This window comes from Homo sapiens, chromosome 6 (genome assembly GCF_000001405.40).
Source record: "Homo sapiens chromosome 6, GRCh38.p14 Primary Assembly".
Lineage (NCBI taxonomy): Eukaryota > Metazoa > Chordata > Mammalia > Primates > Hominidae > Homo > Homo sapiens.
In genome coordinates, this window is record NC_000006.12 from 138771186 (window position 1) to 138794927 (window position 23742).

Sequence of the window (23742 nt, forward strand, 5' to 3'; positions counted from 1 at the left end):
TCACTAACCCTCTGCTTCCTCAAACATGTTAAAGTTCATTTTGCCTAATGGCCTGCATTTTAGCCGTATGTTCTATTCAAGAATGCTTCTTTTCTTCTCCTTCTCCTTCTTATTTTTTTTTTATTTTTTTGAGACAGGGTCTCATTTTGTAACCCAGGCTGGAGCACAGTGACATGATCATGGCTAACTGCAGCCTTGACCTCCTGGGTTCAGGTGATCCTCCCACTTCAGCCACTCAAGCAGCTGGGACTACAGGCCTGCATCACCATGCCCAGCTAATTTTTGTATTTCTTGTAAAGACAGGGTTTTGCTATGTTGCCTAGGCTGGTCTCCAGCTCTTAGGTTCAAGCTATTTGTCTGCCTCAGCCTCCCAAAGTGCTGGATTACAGGCAAAAGCCACCGTGCCTGGCACTCAAGGACTCATTTTCCTCAGATCATTCCATGGCTGGCTCATGCACTTTATTCATATCTCTACCTCAAAGCTGCATTTTCGGGAAGGCCTTCCCTGATACTTCTCCTTCAGTACAAACTACTTTTGACCTTAAGCTGTTATTTCAGGACTCTCATCTGACTAAATGAAACTATTTTATTTGCATACTAATTTATTGTCAGTCTCTTATATCGGGAATATAAGATCTCTGACTATAAAGCTCTTGTACCTTTTGTTGATAGATGCATCCTGACCTCCTATCACAGGGTGTGGCTAAAATAGGGACTTAAAATAGGTATTCAAAACCTGAATACCTATTTCTGAATACCTGAAACATGTCCATTTAGAAGGGTACTTTCCTGTGTCCCTACATCATGTTGGAGGTTGTAAACACAAATGCTACAGGGCTCAGATGGGTACTAAAGACAAAGAAAAACTAGATATTACTTGAACTGAGGTAAAGGAGGCAGATGCTTTCCAGCTTGAACCATTGTTGCCAGGCTACAATGCACATCTAACGTAGTCAGATCTTCCCGTTAATTCATGGGATGCCACATTGTTTTTATTCTTTCAATTTTAGCTGTTAGCAACCAATTTGAAAAAAAAAAAAGTAGCATGTGAATCACCAGTTGCAAGCTCTGTTCATACAAATAAGACAATTCGACATTAATTAAAAGGAGAAACTGGGAAAAGATATTGAGCAGACTGTACAGTAGTGTTTGTAATGGTGAAAAATGGGAAACAACCTAAACATCCATCACTATGGGAATTCCCAAATAATTTGTGACAAATCTATTTGATAAAGTCTAGCTATATTTATCAATGTGGATAGCTCTCAAAAACACAGAATTTGGTGAAAAAATCAAGTTGCAGATCAATACACAAAATATAATAGCATTCATGTAAAACTTCAAATGCCCCAAACCATTCTACATATTGTTTATAATACATAGTAATAGTTTAAATATAGAAACCTAGATTGGCAAGATACATATCAAATTCATGATCCTGGTTGCCTCTCTGAGGGTGGTAGTAGAATGGGACTGAGAATAGGGAACACCTTCTTTATCTGTAATGCTCCATTTCTTTCATTCATAAATCTGTTCGTTCTGGATAGTGGGTGCGTTGTTTATTCTGTGCTTTTTTTTTTTAACATTTCAATAGTTTTGTTTTTTTTTTTTAAATGGCGGGTGGCGGAAGAACATCCTATCCTAGAAGCCAAGAGACTGGGGTTGTCTTTGCTCTGCCTTTTCTGGCATGGATACAATCTCTAGATATGGTTTCCCCATTAGCTAATGCGGGGGGTGCTATGTGGTGTTCCTCCAGAGTCCCTTCAATCTAAGGACCTGTGAATCTAAAACCTTCCCACCTCCCACTCCAACACCGGGAAGGCTACCCAGACCAGGCAATGAAACGTGCATTTCTTCCCTCATTTAAGATAGATCTCTTTCTCTCAGCCTGCAATTCCTTCTCCAGAGGCTTTAAGTATAGTGGAAGTAGAACTATCTTTGACGACAGAGAGACACCTGCATCAATTAGCCTTTCTGAGCCTCAAATTCCCCATTTGTAAAACAGAGAGTATAACACCTACCCATAAAATTGTAGAGAGGTTTAGATACACCGTTATGTGTAGGGCCCGAACAGAGTAGCTATTAATAGTGGTAACAGACTCTCAATTAGGGGCTCAACATCATGGTCGCTGAACAGAATCACGGTCGCTGAACAGAATCACACTCTTCACGCCGCCTTGGAGCCAAAATTAGTTTAGCCGCGAGAAGTCCGGGCAACCAATCGGAAACAACCAAGGAACAGTTGCATGGCGACACTCTGGTTCCGCCTTCGGGCATGCTCGAACAGCATTCTGGGAATTGTAGTTCGGGGGGGGAATCTAACACTCACCGAGGGGCGGAGTAGCTTCCGGAAAGGGTACTGCATTTCCCGTTTCTACCTCCACTGCACCCGCTTATTGCGTCTTGCTCCTGGGTCACAGAGCCTAAAACGACACACCCAACACGCCCGCCGGAGTTACAGCTAAAGGAAGGACAGGGGAAGCAATGAAATGCCGAGGGCGGAGCCAAGAGCGACACTGGGGGAGCAGGAAAAGGCGGGGCTTCCGCTTGGGGCATGGAGGCTGTACCTCTTACGTCACTTCCGTAAACAAACGGAGCTGCGGAGGAGCGGGTCCCGGGATGTGACCGGGGCTCTGCTTGTGGCTGCGGCGGTGGCTTCTGAGGCTGTCGGGTCTTTGCGGGTTGCGGAAGGGGGCCCCAATACCCTTCTTCTTCAGGTATGTAGTGGAAGCAAAGGAACCTCCGCAACCTGCCCCTTTAGGCCCTTCCCACCACTCTGGTCACTGCTGGGTACTGGGCGGTGAAGGGTCATCGCTTCGGTAGATTGGGGAAGGGGAATGAGGTGATGTCAAGAGGGATGCCCAGTGGTACTGCTTGGAGGCAAGACCTGGCACTTAAAACCACTGTGTGAATAAGTAACTATGAGCAGTTTACTTATTATGCCTTCTCTAAAACATTCTTTGCTGTTTGATATACAGGAAGGGTTTCAGTGCTCTTGTGACAGATGTAATTTTCCAAAAACGAGGAAATCGCGAGTGCTGGCTCCGCAGAATATTGTGGTTTAGACCACCACTGGTTTATTTGCATTGCTTTACTTCCTAGATTTTTTTTTCTTGTACCACCAAGTGTGTATTAGCATCGTTAAATTTCAGGCCAGCGTGTTTATGCGTATCATACATTTTTACAGATCCTTGCCTCTTCAGAGAACTAATCGTCTCTATTCAGTCATCTTTCAAACTCTCATTTAATTTGTGTTGCATGTTGAAACAACACCAGAATTATTGTTCTGTTACAAAAAATGCTTCTTAAAAGAAAAATTGTTAGCCAAGGTTTAAGTGGATTGACACCCAGTGGTATCTGGGATTAGAGACTGGGCATTGGAGCCTTTCCCAGAAAGCCTCTTCTTTGGCAGTATTGTAGCTCCAGTTGTAATTGTCTAGCGTCAGCCAATTTAAGCTCAGTGGTTTAAATTCCAGTGCCAGTGGCACTAAGTCCAGGCAAAAGGAAAAAGAAAAATTTATTGAATTCATCAAATAATTATTTTAAGCGACAGCAATGGGTTTGAATCTTTTTGAATGGTCATGGCATGCCTAAATTAAACACAGCATGCCAAAAACGGCCTAATGTTTCTAGAAGGCAATTTACAACCTGATGAGGTAGAGATAGCCATATAAATTCATCTTATGATATATGAAATAATGAAGTTAAGAAAAATTTAACACTATGCACAAATAAAGTATGGAAGGGGTTTTTTTGTTTTGTTTTGTTTTGTTTTGTTTTGTTTTTGAGACGGAGTCTCGCTCTGTCGCAGTGGCACCATCTCGGCTCAGGGCAAGCTCCGCCTCCCGGGTTCATGCCATTGTCCTGCCTCAGCCTCCTGAGTAGCTGGGACTACAGGCGCCCGCCACCACTCCCGGCTAATTTTTTGTATTTTTAGTAGAGACGGGGTTTCACCGTGTTAGCCAGGATGGTCTCGATCTCCTGACCTCGTGATCCGCCCGCCTTGGCCTTCCAAAGTGCTGGGATTACAGGCGTGAGCCCGGCCGGAAGGGTATTTTTTAAATAGATGGATGTTAGAAAATAGAGCGGATTAATAGATAAAGTAAGGGGATTGTGTAGGGATAACTAGGAGGCCTTACACGTATTCCGCATGGAAGGGCCATCTGTAACTTCACATTGTTAACTTTTTTGATATGGGCAAAACTAAATATATATCATAAAATTCACGTTTGTTTGGAAATGGTTAGAGAAAGTATATTCAAAATAGGCAACGAACAAGTTTGATTTTCTAGAACTTCACTTATCACCAAGCTAGAATCATTATTAGCCCTAGCTAGAAACTGAGTTTCTGTTTAGTAGTTGAAGTAAGGCTTCTAGTTGATTTTTAAAATGCTAGTAAAATCCCTATGACAATTATACATCTGTTTGAATCTACTTGGTTCTTCTTAAGCATACATTTTGGAAGAAAGACCTAAAGGCCACCTGAAGCTTGAATCAGGCTGGGAATATTATGTGGATCATTTGTTTATTGTTTATATGTTGTTCCCCTTGTAAAATGTAGGCTTCTTGAGGTCAAACACCTTGTTCAGTGCCGTCTCTCCAGTACCCACAATAGTGTCTGGCTTGTGGAAGAGAATCAGTAAATATTTGTAGGATGAAGAAATAAAGAAAATGGTAAAACAAAACAAAACAAAAACTGTCTACCAGACAATTTTGCTAGGGGCTTATGGGTACATAGTAGAGTACATTAAACTTAAGAGACCCATTTTCTAACTTTCTCTTATGCCCTCTGGAATTCTTGATCCTCTTTTGACCCTGTGAAATGGGTCTTTGAATTTCTTTCATGTTTGCATATTATAGCATACATATATAATTGCTGTATTCCTTATTTAGGTCTTAAGAAGCTGGCCGTGGTGCAATAAGGAACTTAAAACAATGGAAGAGCGGAAAGTGAAGAGGAGGAGTCCTAAGTCTTTTAGTGCCCACTGTACTCAGGTTGTCAATGCCAAAAAAAATGCCATTCCAGTGAGTAAAAGCACAGGGTTTTCAAATCCTGCATCACAGTCAACTTCACAGCGACCAAAGTTAAAAAGGTGAATTCTTTTATTTTACATGTTCACAGTAAAATGCCATTAAAGTAAATCCTGACTCAACTTCTTCTTAAACACTTTTTTAGTCTTGGCTTGACTTTTAAAACAGTTGAGGCACCCATTATGCGTGATTTAGAAGAAAAATTTATGAAAGTTACGGTGTATAGATATTAGAAAATGCAAAATGAATTATTGGTTTGAAGGCCCTTACTTTGTCTTATATTAAAATATACAAAACAAGAAAACTTTTTGACTGTGTTGATGAGCTAGTCAGAAATGGGAAAAGTGAAAAAGTGAAAGAAAGTCAGCAGGGTTTTTTGTTCTCTTTCTTTCTTTCTCTCTTTTTTCTCTAAGCTGAGTGTTTGTGCCTTGGTAGTTTTCTTAATTTATTTTATTTTACACACACACATATATATATATATTTTTAAATATGGGGTCTCACTGTGTTGCCCAGGCCGGCCTTGAACCTCTGGGCTCAAGGGATCCTCCTGCCTCAGTCTTCTGAGGGGCTGTGACTGTGTGGTGTGACACCACACCCAGCTTGCAGTTTTTATTTCTAAAAAATAATGGTGTCATTGTTTTTGTATAAACTGTGTTTTTTATAAATATTCAAACACAGGAAAAATTCAAAGAAGAAATTCAAAATGCAAAAATTCTACCACCTAGAAATAATCATTATTAATATTTGGTGAACATCATTTGCATTCAGGATATTTAAAGGAAACAGAAGTGACAAGTTTAACTATGTTATATGTTACTGTTACATATATGTGAGTATTTTATAGTATTAGATATTTGGAAGGGAAGATTATAGCTTTAGAGGAAAAAAAGTGTTGTATAATGTCAATCTTCTTTCTAATTATTAAATAAATTTACTCTCACATCCAATCTCACCCTGGCAAGTTAGCTAAGGAAATGCCTGTTGCATTCTGTAGCCGCTGGGTTTACACCTAATAAAAGATGAGATTACTGCCTTGATGATGATCTCTCTTTGTCGAAACAGAAGGGACATAACCAAAGACAAGAGAAGATTTGGAAGAAGTATTCCAATGAGTACCAAATGATAAACAGCAGTTTTGAGGATTTCCTTCGAATAAATTATCAGAATGGGGTTTTTGTCATGGAAGAGTTTAATTAGGGTCAGATTTTGAATAAGTTTACAGTTGGTGGAAAAAGAAAACGAAGAGATTTTAAAAGTAATCACTCCTTTCTCTATATTTTTAAAAGCAGTTTATTTGTATCATTGTCATTTTTATTGGTGGTTTTATTTCCATACCCTCTTGTAGATGTAGGCTTCTGAGGGCCAGGACTCTCTGGATCATCATTGTGTGCCTGACAGAACTTACAGTGGGGCTTTGCACATAGTATTATTTCACTGTGTGCTTGCTTTATTGTTGAATTATGTTAACATAAAGTGAGAGTGTGACATAACATTGAAGCAGGAATAAACAGGTTTTTGTTTTATCTTTTGTGTTTGTTTTCTGAGAGGGTTATTAAATGATGAACTGATGTGAAAGTTTACTTGGAGAAAACTTCCAAATTTGAGAGGAAAAAAATACATTTGTCATGCTGAAACCTTATACTCTGTAATAGTTTATCTCAGATTTTAAATGTGAATATGGATCTCTCGGGGATTTTTTTAGAATACAAATTCCACAGCAGTGTGGGATGGGGGGCTTCAGATGAGCATTTCTAAGAAGCTCACAAGTGAGATTGATTCTATGGGTCATGGGCAGCACTTTGAGTAACAAGGTATTACATAATGTATGTAATACATAAAATGCAGCCCTTGCTTTGGGAAGAACTGTTATTGACCTACTGTCAACAATGTATGTATTCTAAACTTCTTTCATATTATAGTCTCTTTCTTGTATCCCCCCCTCACCTACTTTCCCTGGGCATATATATACCCTATTTATCTTATTGTGGTGAGGACAGCTGTGTTGAAGATGTCTTCATTCAACATTATGTTAAAATTGAGTACTGAATATACTTCCGTGTCGGGATTTGTAGTGTGCATTGGGTTATAAAGATAAATTACTCTTTCTCCCATTTTGCCAATTTAGCCCCTACTTGTTCTTTAAGTCTTTGCTCACTTATCACTTTTAGGAAGCCTTCTCTGGTTGGTCCCACGCTGAACGAACTGCTTCTCTCTCTTCCTATATCGCAGTGCGCATAACATCATCACTCAACTATTTGAGAGCCTGGTATATGCCAGACATGTGTAATAAGGACTAGTTTAGGCTAGGGGTTCCAAAAAGGCCTTCCTGAGGAAATAGCATTTAAACTGAGACTTGAAGATGTGTGGGAGGTAGCATGCCAAAGATGGCAGTAAGTGGAAGGATGCTAATGTAGGCAGAGGATTAGCACGTAAGAAGATAAGATAATGGATTTCTAGGAAACGAAAGAGATTCAGTGGCTAGAGCATAGATGAGGATAGGGTTTCTTAGGGATATTAGATTATATTCAGCAGGCAATGCAAAGCTACTAAAGCTTTTTTTTTTTTTTTTGACACGGAGTCTCGCTCTGTCACCCAGGCTGGAGTGCAGTGGTACAATCTCAACTCACTGCAACCTCCACCTCCTGGGTTCAAAGGATTCTCCTGCCTCAGCCTCCCAAGTAGCTGGGACTACAGGTGTGCACCACCACACCAGGCTAATTTTTGTATTTTTAGTAGAGACAGGGTTTTGCCATGTTGGCCAGGTTGGTCTTGAACTCTTGATCTCAGGTGATCCTCCTGCCTGGGCCTCCCAAAGTGTTGGAATTATAGGCACGAGCCACTGTGCCCGGCCTACTGAAGCATTTTTAATTAAGCAAATTGTATGATCTGATTTTACTTTTTGGAAATGGACTTGGCTGCCCGGTGGGGAGAGAAGGGAGATCAGGGATCACAGAGATAGGGAGACTGGTTGGGAAGCTATTTGGTTAAGAGATGGGATGGTGGCATGGGAGAAAGAGAACTGGAGAGATTAGATATTTTGTGGGTATAATTGATAGGACTTCATGACTGCATGTAGGAGCCTTAGGAAGTTAGAGGAGTCAAGGATGATAACAAGTTTTTAGTATTCCATTACATGGTGATTATGAATTTAAATATCTTCCCTTCTCTTTAGACGGGGCATTTGTGGATAATGTTGGCTACAGAGTAGGGACTCCAAAACCATATGTAGAACTACTGAGAGTTCAAGGAACAAATAAAGTTTAGAAGGGAAAGGTGTAATATGTTTTACTGAGAAATGAAATGTAAAGCATAGGATAATACAGACTTACAAGTTTTCTTTTCTGCAGTCCAAAGAATTAGCATATTATATAAATGTATTAATCAAACTTTTTATATGCCTTTGTAGTTATATTTTATACATTTGTTTGAGGTTTTTCACAACCTTTTTTTTCTTTTGGTTTCTGGCTTGGAGTTTCTGGTTTTGTTTAGTATTGACTCTATTTGATTTCTTGCTTTTAAGGGAAATTCCATTTACTTCACTAAAAAATTAAGCAAAAGCTTAATCTAGAATAGCCTAAAAAGCCTAAATTTCATCGTCTTTACAGAGTGATGAAAGAAAAGACCAAACCTCAGGGTGGAGAGGGCAAAGGCGCTCAGTCAACTCCGATCCAGCACTCCTTCCTCACTGATGTCTCAGATGTTCAGGAGATGGAGAGAGGGCTGCTCAGTCTTTTGAATGATTTCCACTCTGGAAAACTTCAAGCATTTGGTAAGCAATAGATGTTTCTGTATTATTTTTTTCTCTAAGATGTTTGCATCCTGTTTTCTGTGTGTATTTTACTCTTCTTTTCAAAGTGCCAGTTTCTTTTAAGAAAAAAAGAGCCCACAGGCATAAAGGCAATCATCCTAGATTTTGTCTTAGAATATAATTTGCCTTCTAAAACTTCTGGGAAAAAGTTTTTTTTTAAGAGGGAGGGTTAGTTGAAATGTTGAAGTAGGATTGCCATTATGGAATAAGTATCTTGCAAGTTTAACAAATAAGAGGGACAGTCTTGGTCAGTTAAAATATTTTAGACTTAGTGTCTTCGTTTTGAAAGTATCAAGATCATTTTCCCTTACCCTCTTAAGCTTAAACTTGTTTCTTGCCTGGGATTCCTGATTTAAAGTTAGGAATTAAAAGAATCCAGTTTTCTTGTTTTTTCATGAGGATATAAGAATAGTTAACTGATTGTCCCATTAAAAATTCTGAATAGGTATTTTTTCGTAGTCACAGAGTTCACAAAAGATAGTCAGATTTTTCATGTGCAGTCTGGAACTTATTTGTAAGCTTTTTCTAATGATAAGATTATTTCCCAATTTTTTTTTTTTTTTTTTTTGAGACAGAGTCTGGCTCTGTCGCCCAGGCTAGAGTTCCATGGCACGATCTCGGCTCACTGCAACCTCCACCTCTCGGGTTCAAGTGATTCTCCTGCCTCAACCTCCCCAGTAGCTGAGACTACAGCCATGTGCCACGGCCAGCTAATTTTTTGTATTTTTACTAGAGACGGAGTTTCACCGTGTTAGCCAGGATGGGTCTCCATCTCCTGACCTTGTGATCTGCCCGCCTCGGCCTCCCAAGGTGCTGGGATCGCAGGCGTGAGCCACCGCGCCTGGCCTATTTCTCAATATTTTAAAAAGCAATTTCAATAATATGCATAATCTTTTTAAAAAATTTTAACTTCCCCAGTTTTTTAGAAGATGCATAATCTTATACAAATGCATAAATGTCCACATACATATTGATTTTTTAAAGTATTCTTTCCCTCCCCAATGTTTTTGTTACTTAACTTCCCCATTCCCTCTTATCCCTTCTGCTACTTCCACTTCCCCTCATCCCAGCCATTTGTTAACAGTCCAGGTGTATATCCTTTCATATTTTTATTTTCATTATTTAATACAAATGGTATACAAGATATTCTGTGTCTTGCTTTCCTGCACTAAAGAATATCTGATGGAAATCTCTCTAATGCACCTAGGATTGCTCTAGTTCATTCTTTTTTAATGGCAACATAATATTCCAAGTTGTGAATATACTCTAGTTTATTCAACTATGTCCCTATTGAGAGGCATTACTTTGTTTCTCATTTTGAGCCACCAAACACAATGGCATAGTCAACATCTTTTTACACAGATCTTTAGGCTGGTGCCTCTATTCTTTTGGGATTGATTCTCATGAGTGGGATTGCTGGGTCAAAGCATATATGTAATTTTAACTTTAATAGAAGTATGCAGATTGCTTTGCAAAAAGAACAATACCGCACTTCTAGGTTCCATAAATAATTTATGAAAAAATGCTTTTCCTTGAATTCCCGCCAAGCAGTAGGTATTATTCGTCTTTTAATTTTTGCCAGTCTCTTGGTGTAAAGTGAGATGTCTTTTATTACAATTGAGTTTGAAGATCCGTGTGTGTTTGGTAGATTGTTTGATAGGTCCTTTTCAGGACCTTTTGTCAGTTTTCTACTTGGTTATTTATCCTTTTGTTGTTGTCACTTGTAAAGAGCCCTTTGTGTTTTAGATACTAACCCTCTGACCTCTATTATGTATTTATTTTTGTCTACCAAATTTGTTGTGTCTGTGCACTTTGTTTATGGTATATTTAACCTTGTAAAAGTTTTTACTTTTTGCATTCTCAAACATGTCTGTATCTTTTCTTTCAATAGTTGCTGGGTTTCCAGTCTTGGTTATGCTAATATTTGAAAAGAAGATATTAAAAGCAGATTATTTATTTCACAAAAATACTTTATTGTACCCCTACCTCCTTGCTTTAGCCCATCCCAGTAAGGTGGTATCTTCAGAGTATTTTCACTTCCCCTCTCTTCCCTTCTTCCCTCCTACCCTTGAGATGTAATCTTTGGACCACTTCCACGTCTTTGCTTTTTCCCAGCACCTTTCCTCCCCTACTCTATGTTGCCTTTGTGTTTTTGGATTGAAGTCCTTTCTTGTCTTTGTCTGTTATCCTACTGATTACTCTTCATAATAAGTGTTGCAGATGAGAATTCCATTGCCAGTCAGAGTCTTTCTTAGCAGGTAATTTATATTTTTCTGTCTCGATGATTAAAAGATGTTTTTCTTTTATCTTTAAAGGTTAGGCATTTTCCAGGATATGCTTAGGACTGTGTCTTTTCTCATCAATCTGCCTGGGAATCAGTGAGCCCTTCATATCTGCTGACTCATCTTTCATCTCACGTAACATATTTTCTATTGTTTATTATTTTTCTTCCATCTCTTCCTTTTTAGCCTCTGAAGCTTCTATTGTTCTCATGGTAGGTCACCTAGATCCGTCCTCTGACTCTCATCTTTTCCCATATGATTTCTACCTCTTTATATTTTTACTGTACATTTACATACATAAACACAAACATACATACATACACACAAACACGTATCTTGAGATATTTCTGTTTCTTCCACTTGACCTTCCAGGTTACTAATGTTGAAAAACATGACTAAAATAGAGGAAATATGACATATTTTACTGTGAAGAAAGGACGATTTTGAGAGAGCCATAACTAGCTTCAACATTAGTAGTCCTTAACATAATGTCGTATAGTCCATTTATGAAGATGTTATAAAGCTGGCTAGAGGAAACTAGCATAATTTACATTAATTCATATTTATTTAGGATATGTACTTCAACTTTAGCTGAGGTATATTTTACCTGTATAGTACCTTTAGGAAAAACAGAAAGGTTTTTTTTTTAAAAAATTCTACTATCAAGGGATTGCAGAGTCTGTACTTAAACTGAATGAAAAGATAATACGTTATGTGTATAAATTAGTTGCTCTGGGCAGATAATGTCACTTCAGAGGACTCTTGGTCAATATGTAATGTAAGACCTATTCTTTAGCAATTAAGTTGTCTTGACAACTGTGTGTACAATTAAAAATATTACATAGTGTTGCTCATGCTTCATGCCATTTTTCATGCTTCATAAATATTTTTATTTATATTTCTTAAAGGAAGAATACATAATTGGTTGAAAAAATGATTCACATTTGAAGTCGTTATTGAACTTTTTTTTTTTTTTTTTTTTTGAGATAGAGTCTCTGTCACCCAGGCTGGAGTGCAGTGGTATGATCACAGCTCACTGCAGCCTCGGCCTCCTTGAGCTCAAGCCATCCTCCCACCTCAGCCTCCCAAGTAGCTGGTACTGCAGGCACACACCACCACACCCAGCTAATTTTTTTTTTTTTTTTTTTTGAGATGGAGTCTCGCTCTTTCGCCCAGGCTGGAGTGCAGTGGCGCGATCTCTGCTCACTGCAAGCTTCGCCTCCCAGATTCACGCCATTCTCCTGCCTCAGCCTCCCGAGTAGCTGGGACTACAGGCGCCCACCACCACGCCCGGCTAATTTTTTGTATTTTTTAGTGGAGACGGGGTTTCACCATGTTAGCCAGGATGGTCTCGATCTCCTGACCTCATGATCCACCCGCCTCGGCCTCCCAAAGTGCTGGGATTACAGGCGTGAGCCACCGCGCCTGGCCTTGTATTTTTTATAGAGATGAGGTTTCACCATGTTTCACAGATTGGTCTTGAACTCCTGGACTCAAGCAGTTCTCACACCTTGGCCTCTCAAAGTGTGTTAAGATTACAGGCGTGAGCCACCATGCCCAGCCAGAACTCTTTTTTTTTTTTTTTTTTGAGACAGGGTCTCGCTCTGTTACTCAGGGTGGAGTGCAGTGGTGTGATCATGGTTCACTGCAGCCTCAACCTCCCCAGGCTTATATGATCCTCCCACCTCAACCTCCCAAGTAGCTGGGATTACAGGCACATGCCACCACGCCTGGCTAATTGGCTGATTTTTTGTATTTTTAGTAGAGACAAGGTTTCACCATGTTGCCCAGGCTGATGTAGAACTCCTGGGTTCAAGGGATCCGTCAGCCTTGGCCTCCCCAAGTGCTAGGATTACAGGCATGAGCCACTTGGGCCTAGAACTCTGAATTTCACTCAAATTATTACAAAATGTTGGGTCACTCAGTTAAAATGGTAGTTGTCAAACTGGACATGATGAGATGGTGCTGTTTTGCTTCTACATATTATATTACTGTTGAAGAAAATACATTTTCTCTACTTAAGGGACGATTTTCTTTTCTCTTTTTCTTTTTTTTTTTTTTTGAGACAAGGTCTCACTCTGTCACCTAGTCTTGAGTACAGTGGCTTGAACACAGCTCACTGCAACCTTCACCTGCTGGGCTCAAGCAATCCTCCTGCCTCAGTATCCTGAGTAGCTGGGACCAGAGGCATGCAGCACCATGCCTAGTTAATGCGTGTTTTTTAAAAAATTTTTTTGTAGGGGTAGGGTCTTGCCATGTTGCCAGGCTGGTCTTGAACTCCTGGGCTCAAGCAGTCCTACTGCCTCAACCTCCCAAAGTGTGGGGATTATAGGCATGAGCCACCATGCCCAGCCTGATTTTGCTTTTTAAAAAGAAACGTTTCCTATATGCTCTTTTTTTTTTTTTGAGACAGAGTCTCGCTCTATTGCCAGGGTGGAGTGCAGTGGCACGATCTTGGCTCACTGCAACCTCTGTCTCCCGGGTTCAAGCGATTCTCCTGTCTCAGCCTCCCAAATAGCTGGGACTACAGGCACGCACCACCATGCCCAGCTAATTTTTGTATTTTTAGTAGAGACTAGGTTTCACCATGTTGGCCAGGATGGTGTTGATCTCCTGACCTCATGATCCACCAGCTTCAGCCTCCCAAAGTACTGGGATTACAGGCGTGAGCCACCACGCCTGGCCTGAAATATTTCCCATATGATTTTCTTTAGTACCCAAGGTCATTTCTTAAGTGGGTCATTGTTTTCCTGGTCAGAAATTTGATTTGTTATTAAACACAGAAAATATTAATGATTATCTAATTTACAGAAGAAAGAAAACCTGTTTCTTTTAGAGCACCTAGAGTTTAAGTGTTTTTACTCAATGCTGTTAGTTTGAACTGTCCTAATCATTATTAATGTTCTGGAATGTTCCCAAGGAAATGAATGTTCCATTGAACAGATGGAACATGTTCGGGGAATGCAGGAGAAATTAGCTCGCTTGAATTTGGAGCTCTATGGGGAGTTAGAGGAACTTCCTGAGGATAAGAGAAAAACAGCCAGTGACTCCAATCTGGATAGGCTTCTGTCAGATGTAAGTGTAATTCTTTTTCTTTGTTCTTTAAAAAAAAATTTTTGTTGCGAAAAAATGTACCTTTTGAACTATTTTAATGTATACAATCACGTGGTTGCTAGCGTATTCACAGTGTTGTGCCGATCGCTGTTGAATTGCGGAACACGTTCACCACCCCAGAAAGAAACCCTGGACCTCTCAATTCTCTCCTCATCCCCTAGCAACCCCTAATCTACTTTCTGCCTTTATGGATTTGCCTATTGTGGACATTTCATATCAGTGGAATTATGCAGTATGTGGACTAAATGGATTATTTTACTTAATGTTCAAGTTTCATCCATGTTGTAAAAACTTTACTCTTTTTTTTCAAGAAATGTATTCCAACAAAGTTATCGTATTTACATCTAAGCATGTATTCTCAGAATACAGATGCTGGCAAATCTGAAAGCAAAATATTTGCTTCTGTACAGATATAATAAAATCTTAAGATATAGAAGATAGTGGTGAAAAAGACCTTTCCTGATATGATTAATACATTTTGTGTTATTTACTCAGGTGGCGGTTACTTGTTTTTAAAGGCAGAACGACATTTGCTATTTCTGCTAATTGAGTACATTGCCATATGTATTACTTTGCCAGGGCTGCCAAAACAAAGTACCACAGACTGGGTGGCTTTAACAACAGAAATTTATTTTCCCACAATTCCGGAGGCTAAAGTTGGAGCTCAGGGTGGCAGGGTTGCTTTTTTCTGAGGCCTCTCAGTTTGTAGTAGCCGTCGTGTTCACATGGCTTCTTCCTCTATGCCAAGTGTCCAACTTTGCTTTTCCTGCCAGTCACATTGGATGAGAGCCCACCCTGATGACCTCATTGTGACTTAATTACCTCTTTAAAACCCCTGTCTTCAAATCTACTCACATTCTGAGATACTGGGGGTGAGGACTAAGACATGAATTTTGGAGGGTACACTGTTTAGCACATAACACAAAGTATGATTGTTACACTGAGAAATGTTAATTAAATTTGCCTCTTTAAATCCTTTTTGGAACAAAAATAAATAAAAATTGAATTCAACACACGTTAGTTTTAGATTCCCTATTAACTATTGACAAAAAAGGGTTAATTTCTACTGTTTTTCTCTCTTTTGAATAAGTAAATGTGAGGGAACTTGTATGCCAATACTTTCACTATTTCGAGTCTATAATCTTTTTATTTCATGTCTGTCTTACTCAGTCTTGCAAGTATTTCCATTTACAGTTCATGGTTTGTTTTTTTGAGACAGGGACTCACTTTGTCACCCAGGCTGGAGTGCAGTGGCGCCATCTGGGCTCACTGCAGCCTCAACTTCCTGAACTCATACGATCCTCCTGCCTCAGCACCCCCAAGTAGCTGGGACTATGGGCACATGCCACCACGCCCAGCTAATTTTTTTATTTTTAGTAGAGATAGGGTTTCACCATGTTGTACAGGCTGGTCTTGAACTCCTGGACTCAAGTGATCCGCCCACCCTGGCCTCCCCAAGTGCTGGGATCACAAGTGTGAGCCACGGTGTCTGGCTTTACCAGTTCATGTTTTACATTTTTTTCCTCTTAACAGATAATAAGTATAACTTGCTATACATTTAGGAGAATAACAGTGGTATAGTGAAAAGAACGCCGAATTTGAAACCAGAAAGGCTTCGTTTAGTTCAGCATTTGCATTTGGGTTATAACTGAACAACACTGAGCCATTTAGTTAACATTTTTGTAATTCACATGTTTCCTTCTGTAAGATAAAAATGCTGTAGTCTAAATGTTTATGTCCTCCCCAGAAAGCATATATTGAAATCTTAACTTAGAAGGTGATGGTAGGAGGAGATGGGGCCTTTGGGAGGTGATTCAGGCAAGAATGTGATTAATGTCCTTATAAAAGAGGCCCAAGAGAAACCTCCTACCCCTTCTACCATGTGAGGACATGGGGAGAAAGCCCTCCTGTTTCATGAACAGGAAGTGGTTCATGCCCTCCCCAGACACCAGATCTGCTGACTCCTTAATTTTGAACTTTCCTACCTGTAGAACTATAAGAGGTAAATTTCTATTGTTTATAAGCCACCAGTTTATGGTGTTTGTTATAGCAGCCCAAACAGACTAAGACAAGGGGTGATGAATTCTACCTCATATAGAAAATTGAGTGACGTGAAATCTTTTTGTAATCTATGATGGTTTTAAAGATTTTGATCATTAAAATGGCAATTTTTTTTCTTTTAAAAACTTATTAGAGATGATTGTTATTATGCCTGGTTTTAGGAATACTTATAAAACTCCAGTTTTTATAATCTGGTTTCATTCTGTCCTCATATTCTTTTGATTTTTTTGTAGAGACAGGGTTTTGTTATGTTGCTCAGGCTGGTCTTAAACTCCTGGGCTCAAGCAGTCCTCTCCCCTCAGCCTTCCAAAGTGCTGGGATTACAGGCAAGAGCATGCCTGGCCTCTCTCCTCATATTCTTGTTTCACACATGTTAATGCTACTTAATAATTATTTTTGCAAAAAGGAATTTTTTAGCCTGAAATTTTTTTGAAAGTTTTTTTCTTTAGTACTTTGCTTTTTCATTTACAGAAAGCTTTTTTTTTTTTTTTTTTTTTCGACACAGCATCTCATTCTGTCACCCAGGCTGGAGTGCAGTGGCACTAACAGAGCTCACTGCAGCCTTAAACTCCTGGGCCCAAACAATCCTCCCACCTCAGCCTCCTAAGTAGCTGGACCTCACGTGTGCGTCACCACGCCTGTCTAATTTTTTTATTTTTTGTAGAGAGGAGGTCTTACCATGTTGTCCAGGCTAGTCTGGAGCTCCTGGGCTCAAGCAGTTCTCCCGCCTTGGCATCCCAAAGTGCCAGGATTATAAGCACGGGTCACTGTGACCAGCACAAGAAAGCTTAAATGAAAAATAATTTATTTAAAAAGAAATAGTTAACAACTATTTATATTGATCTTATAAAAATTAAAAATAAATTTGTTTCTTTGTTTTACAGTTAGAAGAATTGAATTCTTCCATGTATCCTTTGTCTGCTATCAACAGTGAAAAGTTTACAACTTACAATTTCTGGTGAATAATCTCGATCAAGTTTTAGAAAGATGTGTTATTTAGATATGGTGGAAAAAAGACACGTAGTATTATTCACTAGGGCCGTCACTCTTCCTCTTTGGTTTTCTTTTCTTTCTCTTTTTTCTTTTCTTTTTTTTTTTTTTTTTTTTTTTCAGAGACAGGGTCTTGCTCAGTGGCCCAGGCTGGAGTGCAGTGCCACGATCATGGTTCACCACAGTCTCAAACCTCCCAGGCTCAAGCGATCTTCCCACTTCAGCCTCCCAAAGTGCTGGGATTACAGGCGTGAGACACCATTCCCTGCCCCCTTTGGGTTCCAAATGGAATTTTCTTGTTGTTTTCTATGCTGAAATTTTGTTTCTGGTTTGTTCTGCTTTGCTTTGTACTGTTCTTGAATTTTTAAGACAAATTATTTTTTATCATGATAACTGAGGGTTAGGTTAGTTGCTATGTAAATTATTTTGAAGCTTAGATTCTGAGGCTAACTGGCAGTGAGATATTCAGAGATAATATACTATACTTAATATCATCACATAGGATATTTTAGGTGCATAAAATTGAAAACTAGACATTAAAATGCAGGCTTCGAGGGATGCTTACATAGCTTGTGAAATGACATTTCACAATTAAATGTACTTAGTGTATTATAGGATTAGCTTAAAGGACATCACCAAGACACATGTAGAATATTCAGGTTTTGACATTTCAATTTAGAGCAATTATTTTAAGAACTTTTCAAAATGTATTTTTGAACATAACAGGCACAATGGTAAGGTACAAAAGAACAATGAGAAATGATCCTGCCTATAAAATAATTTAATTTGAGAAGTAAGACATCCCCTTTGAACCAGTTATTGACATAGAAAGGATGCTGCTTGTAGAGATTTGATTTTTGAAGTTTGGTTCTACATTTTGATCATGTAACCTTGGGCAAATTGTTTAACGTCTCAGAGTGTTCTCTGTAATACAGGGTAATTGCTACATGTGATGATGCGTATGTGAAAATTTCCAAACTATATATATAAAAATTACTATTATTGCTATAAGATTATATTCATACTGTTATTAACTGCTGAATTGTGCAGTAACAACAATTAAGAAATTGGGGCCTGGCACGGTGGCTCATGCCTGTAATCCCAGCACTGTGGGAGGCTGAGGCGGGTGGATCACTTGAGGTCAGGAGTTCAAGACCAGCCTGGCCAACATTGTGAACACCTCTCTTTACTAAAAATACAAAAATTAGCCAGGTGTGGTGGAGGGCGCCTGTAATCCCAGCTACTTGGGAGGCTGAGGCAGGAGAATTGCTTGAACCTGGGAGGTGGAGGTTGCAGTAAGTAGGGATCCTGCCATTTCCATCCTGGGCAAAAGAAATCAGGAAGTATATCCAAGTCCTGTAATGGCGATTAATAGCTAATCTTCATGAATACTTACTATTTTCCCAGTACTATATAAAGGGGTATGTGCATTATCTTATTTGGCCCTACTTGGAAGTGGGTGGTGTTATGCCCCCCATTTTGCAGATGAAGAAAATAAGGTGCTACATAAACTGTTGGGAGAGATTAAGATATTATTGTCAAGAAAGAGTTAAAGAAGGGGGTAAGACTTGAGTTAATCAAGGGGCTTTTCCTGCAAGAAGTTCTCTTTCTTCCTTCAATGCTTTATATTCTTTCTCTGCCATGACACTTAAGTATTTCCTATCCTTTTGTGTGGTTTTGTTTGTTTGTTTGTTTGTTTTGAGACGGGTCTCGCCCTGTCGCCCAGGCTGAAGCAGTAGCGTGATCTCCACTCACTGCAACCTGCTTCTCTGGGGTTCAAGCAATTCTCCTGCCTTAGCCTCCTGAGTAGCTGGGATTACAGGTACCTGTCACCACGTCCAGCTAATTTTTGTATTTTTAGTAGAGACGGGGTTTCACCATGTTGGCCAGGCTGGTCTTGAACTCCCGACTCAGGTGGTCTGCCCGCCTTGGCCTCCCAAAGTGTTGGGATTACAGGCATTAGCCACCACGCCCGGCCCTTTTTTGTGAGTTTTTGTTAAACATTTAGAGTTTTTGTTTTGTTTTGTTTTACCACTTTCTGTGACTTAACCTGTGGTGGAATTTACCCACCACAAACATAGCAGCATAATACCCTATATAATACAAGAGTGTAGGCTTTGGAATGCTTGGTAGGCAGCCGTATAACCTTGAACAAAATCTGGCAACCATAGTTTCCTCACCTGTAATAGGTGTTCTCTCAGTACTTAAACTTTCCCCTCCTAATTTCCCTCTTTGTCGGCTGTCTCTGTTAATTCAGTCTCCAAGAATATTTTTAAATGCCTTCAAGGACCATGGCAGACATTGCTAATCAGACATGGCATTCTCTGCCATTGAGCCTGGATCTGGATATGAAGTCTGTTTGCCATCTCTTTATTACAGTTGTCAGGCATCATCAGTATCATCAGTTCTGCTTTTATTCTTCCTTCACTCTCTACATGATAATCCAGGACCTTGTCACCTGATTCCATACCTTTTCAATTTTCTGTTCCAGATCTAGAGTTGCACTGTTCAATATAGTAGCCACTAAGCCATTTCAAAGACTTAATATCCTTAAAAGAACATAAAATATCTCAATTTTTATAATGATTACATGTTGAAATAATTCTTAAAATGTTATATATATATATTTCTGAGACAGGGCCTTGCTCTGTCACCCAGGCTGGAGTGCAGTGACATGATCATGGCTCACTGCAGCCTCAACTTCCTGGGCTCAGTTGATCTCCCACCTCAGCCTCCTGAGTAGCTGGGACTACAGGTGTACGTTATGCCCAGCTATTTTTTTTTTTGTTTTTAGATAACGGGGTCTTGCTATGTTGCCCAGATTGGTCTCAAACTCCTGGGCTCAAGCAGTCCTCCTGCCTCAGCCTCCCAAAGTGCTGGGATTCCAGGCGTGAGTCACCACGCCCAGCCTGCGTTGTATTTCTATTGAACAGTGTTGCTCTAAACTTTAGGTATTGCTACAAAATTAATATTCTTGAAACATCACTTTCTTCCTGCCATTTCTATTTTTTACCATTTTTTTTAAACCATGTCAACTATTTTAAAGGTTCTTAATAATTTGGTCACAACCTGTATGCACATGCTGTTGTATTTTTCATTCTTTTTCATTCCCCTCAGGCTGGTTTTCTGGATGCCCAAGAAACACATCATGTTCATTCTCATCATAATGCGTTTGTTCAGGTTGTACCTCCTACCTAGAGTTACTCTCACCTCCTTGTTCTCCTTATCACGTTACATTCAAGCTGACCACTTCCATAAAGGATTTCATTTGTACCTTAACCTAGCATTCTGCCTTATATTATTATCTGTTGATTTTTACATGTGTTAAATCTCAGCCTTCCAATTGGACAAGAATGTCTTTGATGGCAGTGCTTATGTCTGTACATTTTTGCAACCTCTGCCATACATGTACTGCAAGCATTTAGTTGCCTTCAGTGTATTCATATCATTGAATTGGGTCTTGAAAAATAAGTAACAGGTGGATAAATACAGGTCAGTGAGAAAAATGAAAGACAGTGATTATAATAAGGGATGAGTAATTCATGCAAGATTCCCGTCCTATTTCCAGTCTTCTTGAGGAACAATTAAGAGAATTATAGAAAAGATTTTAGAGCTGTAATGATTTTATTTTTGGACTTTTAAACAGAATTGTTTTCCCAAAGATGATAAAGTGGTGTCTTCTCAAAAGATTTTTTTAATCTAGTGTCTTGTCATGTTTGTCTCTAATCAGCTCCTTACTATGAAAATGATTATTGACACATTAAAAATAACTCTGGGCCAGGTGTGGTGGCTCGCACCTGTAATCCCAGCACTTTGGGAGGCCGAGGCAGGAAGGTTGCTTGAGGCCAGGAGTTCAAGACCAGCCTGGGCAACATAGCCAGACTCCTCCCCCATCTCTAACAAAGAATAGAAAAATTAGCCAGGTATGTTGGCACATGCCTTTGGGAGGCTGAGGTGGGAGGATTGCTTGAGCCCAGGAGTTCAAGGCTACAGTGAAGTATGATCGTATTACTGCATTCCAGCCAGGGAAACAAAGTGAGTCCTTATCTCTAAAATTTAAAAAAAAAAAAGTCTTCAAATTCTAGACAAGAGTATAATTTACTACATTTAAAAGTTGTCTTACCACATCTGAGTGTCTCAGTAGCAACACAAGAGCTTTTCCTTTGAACATATCTCTTTTTTAAATACCGCTTTCTCTTTGCTCCTGAATGTAATTTTCAGAAATGTAAAAGAAGTACCCCTTATAGAATGAAAATCTTCTTAACTGATTAATTCAGACAAAAACTCCATTTGGCAGATGCACAAGATGTTCCAAATACTTCTGCTAGCTAAAATGAAATGTAGTTTGCTTTCTTGTGATTTGAAGAGAAGCAGCAGTCTTTACTTTTCCAGCCAAATCCAGTAGCAGAATCATCTTCCACAACAAGGAATTAAAGTAATTAAAGTGCAAGTTCAATGATCGTTTTCACTTACTGCTTTTAGTAAATGTGACTCGCTGTAATTCACCATAACTGGAGGCCTAGGCCTTGTTGAAGGCTTCATCAGGAAATGTGACGCAGAGATTGTGCTGCTGTGCTTCATATTGTTGCCTTATGGGATTATACTTGAAATGCATTGTGCTGATGTTCTTGACAGGGCGGAGGGATTTCTCTTTCCTGAGCTCACCAAACTTATTCCAGTGTTGATCGCAAGCTGTTGATGCACAGGCGTCTTGTGGCAAGCCCAGCTTCAGTTTATGTTAGACAATCAGTACACATGCTGGTGTGTTTTCCAATGGCCAGTGATAAGAAATTAAATAAGTATTTGTGAGATTTGCTATTTTTTAATAAAGTAATTGTTTTAAATTAATCTCTGTTGTCTGTTTTGAAGAAACCCATATAGTCTTCAATCTGGGAAATACAAGGGTTCAATCCTTAAAAGTAAACTGTGTTTATAAAATTTGAGGTTCTTGAACTCCTTGCAAATTCTGTACCTTGTGTACATTTAAATACTGGTGTGATGAAAGAATGTGAGCTTTAAAGTTACTTACACCTTAATTTGAATCGCCGTTCTGCCCCCTTAACTTTGTGTTCATGCACGTTTACTCAGGTTGGATTTTTTTCTTTTTTCTTTTTTTTTTTTTTAAATCTAGAAAATGAGGTCAGTAACCAAGTTGGTAGTTGTTGTATGGGGAGTAAGTGAAAAAGCGCGTATAGGATGCTTAGCACAAGCCGGGCACGGTAGCTCACGCCTATAATCCCAGCACTTTGGGAGGCTGAGGCAGGTGGATCACTTGAGGTCAGGGGTTCAATACCCAGACCGGCCAACATGGTGAAACCCCATCTCCACTAAAAACACATACACACAAATTAGCCGGACGTGGTGGCGGGCTCCTGTAATCCCAACTATCAGGGAGGCTGAGACACAGGAATTGCTTGAACTCAGGAGGCAGAGAGGTTGCAGTGAGCCGAAATTGTGCCACTGCACTCTAGCCTAGGCGACAGAGCAAGACTCTGTCTCAAAAAAAAAAAAAAAAAGAGAGATGCCTAGCACAATAGCTGATACCAGTAATGCTCAGTAAACATTAATTTCATCACCCTTTAAAAACAGCTTTATTGAAACAATAATTTATGTCATAAAATGTACCCCTTTAAAGTGTACAATTCAGTGATTGTTAGTAGATTCATAGAGTTATATACCCATCACCGTGATCTAATTCTAGAACATTTTCATCACACTAAAAAGAATCCCATTAACAGTCACTCCTTGTCCCCTAATCCCCTCAGCCTTTGGCAGCCACTAACCTCCTTTCCAGCTCTCTGGATTTTCTATTCTAGACATTTTATATAAATGGAATCATACAATACGTGGCCTTTTGTGACTGGTTTCGTTTACTTAGCATGATGTTTTCAAGGATTGAAGCTTCATCCATGTTATTGCATGTACTTCATTTCTTGTTTTGGCTGATCATATGCCATGGTATGGATAGAACACATTTTGCTTATTTATAACTCAGTTACCTTTGTGTTGCAGAAGATGCTCATGCTTCTGTCTCCTTGTTTCCAGGCCACAGAAATAAGCACCTAATTGGGGGAGGGGAGGAGAGGGACTTACTGAATATTTTTCAAATCTTGATTTTAATAATTTTTGGCTTTCTGAATTCAAAGTATTTTGATCAGTAAATTGGTCTTTTTAATACCCCTTTTAAAAATTACAGCATCATGGAGGAAACTTCATTTGGGTTGTGAGAATAGGGATTTAAGGGGGAAAAAGTCGTACTCTAGGGTCTGACAGGGCGAAAGGACACTTTGTCATGTGACATGTTTTTCTTGGATTGGTCCTGAGATAGAGTAAAGCAAAAAGCTGGTTCCTGCGGGTTGTGACAGAGCAGTGGATTGACCTTGTTTATTCACTTGGTTCATTCGCCCTTTGTGTCACAGGGCCCTAAATGGGTCCCAGGTAGCGAAATATTAGCTT

At 39.4% G+C, this 23742-nt stretch overlaps 1 protein-coding gene and 1 long non-coding RNA gene across 5 annotated transcripts in view, besides 6 other annotated features; one reads left to right on the top strand and one right to left on the bottom strand.

Annotated features, from left to right (window-relative positions):
- The window catches only part of CCDC28A-AS1 (CCDC28A antisense RNA 1), a 48489-nt gene extending 45971 nt beyond the window's left edge, over positions 1–2518 (bottom strand). For 2 of the 3 annotated variants that reach the window (NR_161205.1, NR_161203.1), the window contains exon 1: positions 2330–2518. This is a non-coding gene — a long non-coding RNA (CCDC28A antisense RNA 1). Of the gene's footprint in view, positions 1–2021 lie in introns of all 3 variants that reach the window. The other variant, NR_161204.1, reaches the window with a different exon arrangement.
- Positions 1635–2309: an enhancer, noted in NCBI's record as "H3K27ac hESC enhancer chr6:139093957-139094631 (GRCh37/hg19 assembly coordinates)". NCBI's record gives its function as "activates a minimal SCP1, AML or CMV promoter by ChIP-STARR-seq in primed H9 embryonic stem cells {active_cell/tissue: H9 hESC(primed)}" and the evidence as "EXISTENCE:reporter gene assay evidence [ECO:0000049][PMID:30033119]".
- Positions 2310–2983: an enhancer, noted in NCBI's record as "H3K27ac hESC enhancer chr6:139094632-139095305 (GRCh37/hg19 assembly coordinates)". NCBI's record gives its function as "activates a minimal SCP1, AML or CMV promoter by ChIP-STARR-seq in naive and primed H9 embryonic stem cells {active_cell/tissue: H9 hESC(naive and primed)}" and the evidence as "EXISTENCE:reporter gene assay evidence [ECO:0000049][PMID:30033119]".
- Positions 2347–2396: an enhancer, noted in NCBI's record as "active region_25161". NCBI's record gives its function as "activates an Ori minimal core promoter by ATAC-STARR-seq in GM12878 lymphoblastoid cells {active_cell/tissue: GM12878}" and the evidence as "EXISTENCE:reporter gene assay evidence [ECO:0000049][PMID:35858748]".
- Positions 2417–2476: an enhancer, noted in NCBI's record as "active region_25162". NCBI's record gives its function as "activates an Ori minimal core promoter by ATAC-STARR-seq in GM12878 lymphoblastoid cells {active_cell/tissue: GM12878}" and the evidence as "EXISTENCE:reporter gene assay evidence [ECO:0000049][PMID:35858748]".
- On the top strand, positions 2584–22134 carry CCDC28A (coiled-coil domain containing 28A). Of its 2 annotated transcripts, NM_015439.3 has the most exons (6): positions 2584–2717; positions 4894–5093; positions 8637–8800; positions 14042–14196; positions 17181–17203; positions 21564–22134. In NM_015439.3, exons 2-6 carry the CDS (start codon positions 4936–4938, stop codon positions 21616–21618), a joined length of 555 nt encoding a protein of 184 aa, NP_056254.2. In that variant the 5' UTR covers positions 2584–2717; positions 4894–4935; the 3' UTR covers positions 21619–22134. The 2 variants fall into 2 exon arrangements, with proteins under 2 accessions (NP_056254.2, NP_001366000.1); NM_001379071.1 differs by lacking the exons at positions 14042–14196; positions 17181–17203; positions 21564–22134 and adding an exon at positions 11155–11970.
- Positions 2837–2896: an enhancer, noted in NCBI's record as "active region_25163". NCBI's record gives its function as "activates an Ori minimal core promoter by ATAC-STARR-seq in GM12878 lymphoblastoid cells {active_cell/tissue: GM12878}" and the evidence as "EXISTENCE:reporter gene assay evidence [ECO:0000049][PMID:35858748]".
- Positions 6849–7018: an enhancer, noted in NCBI's record as "experimental_90660 CRE fragment used in MPRA reporter constructs". NCBI's record gives its function as "activates a minimal promoter by MPRAs in K562 erythroleukemia cells, with activity observed for both the introgressed and non-introgressed 6:139099256 variant alleles {active_cell/tissue: K562}" and the evidence as "EXISTENCE:reporter gene assay evidence [ECO:0000049][PMID:34662402]".
- Positions 22135–23742: the final 1608 nt, after the last annotated feature.

Excerpts from the sequence above, each read along its gene's own strand:
- CCDC28A (NM_015439.3), top strand. The coding sequence starts at position 4,936 with ATGGAAGAGCGGAAAGTGAAGAGGAGGAGTCCTAAGTCTTTTAGTGCC. Across the intron at positions 14,197-17,180 it reads TGGATAGGCTTCTGTCAGAT|TTAGAAGAATTGAATTCTTC; the intron begins GTAAGTGTAATT and ends TTTGTTTTACAG. Across the intron at positions 17,204-21,563 it reads GAAGAATTGAATTCTTCCAT|ACAAAAACTCCATTTGGCAG; the intron begins GTATCCTTTGTC and ends TGATTAATTCAG.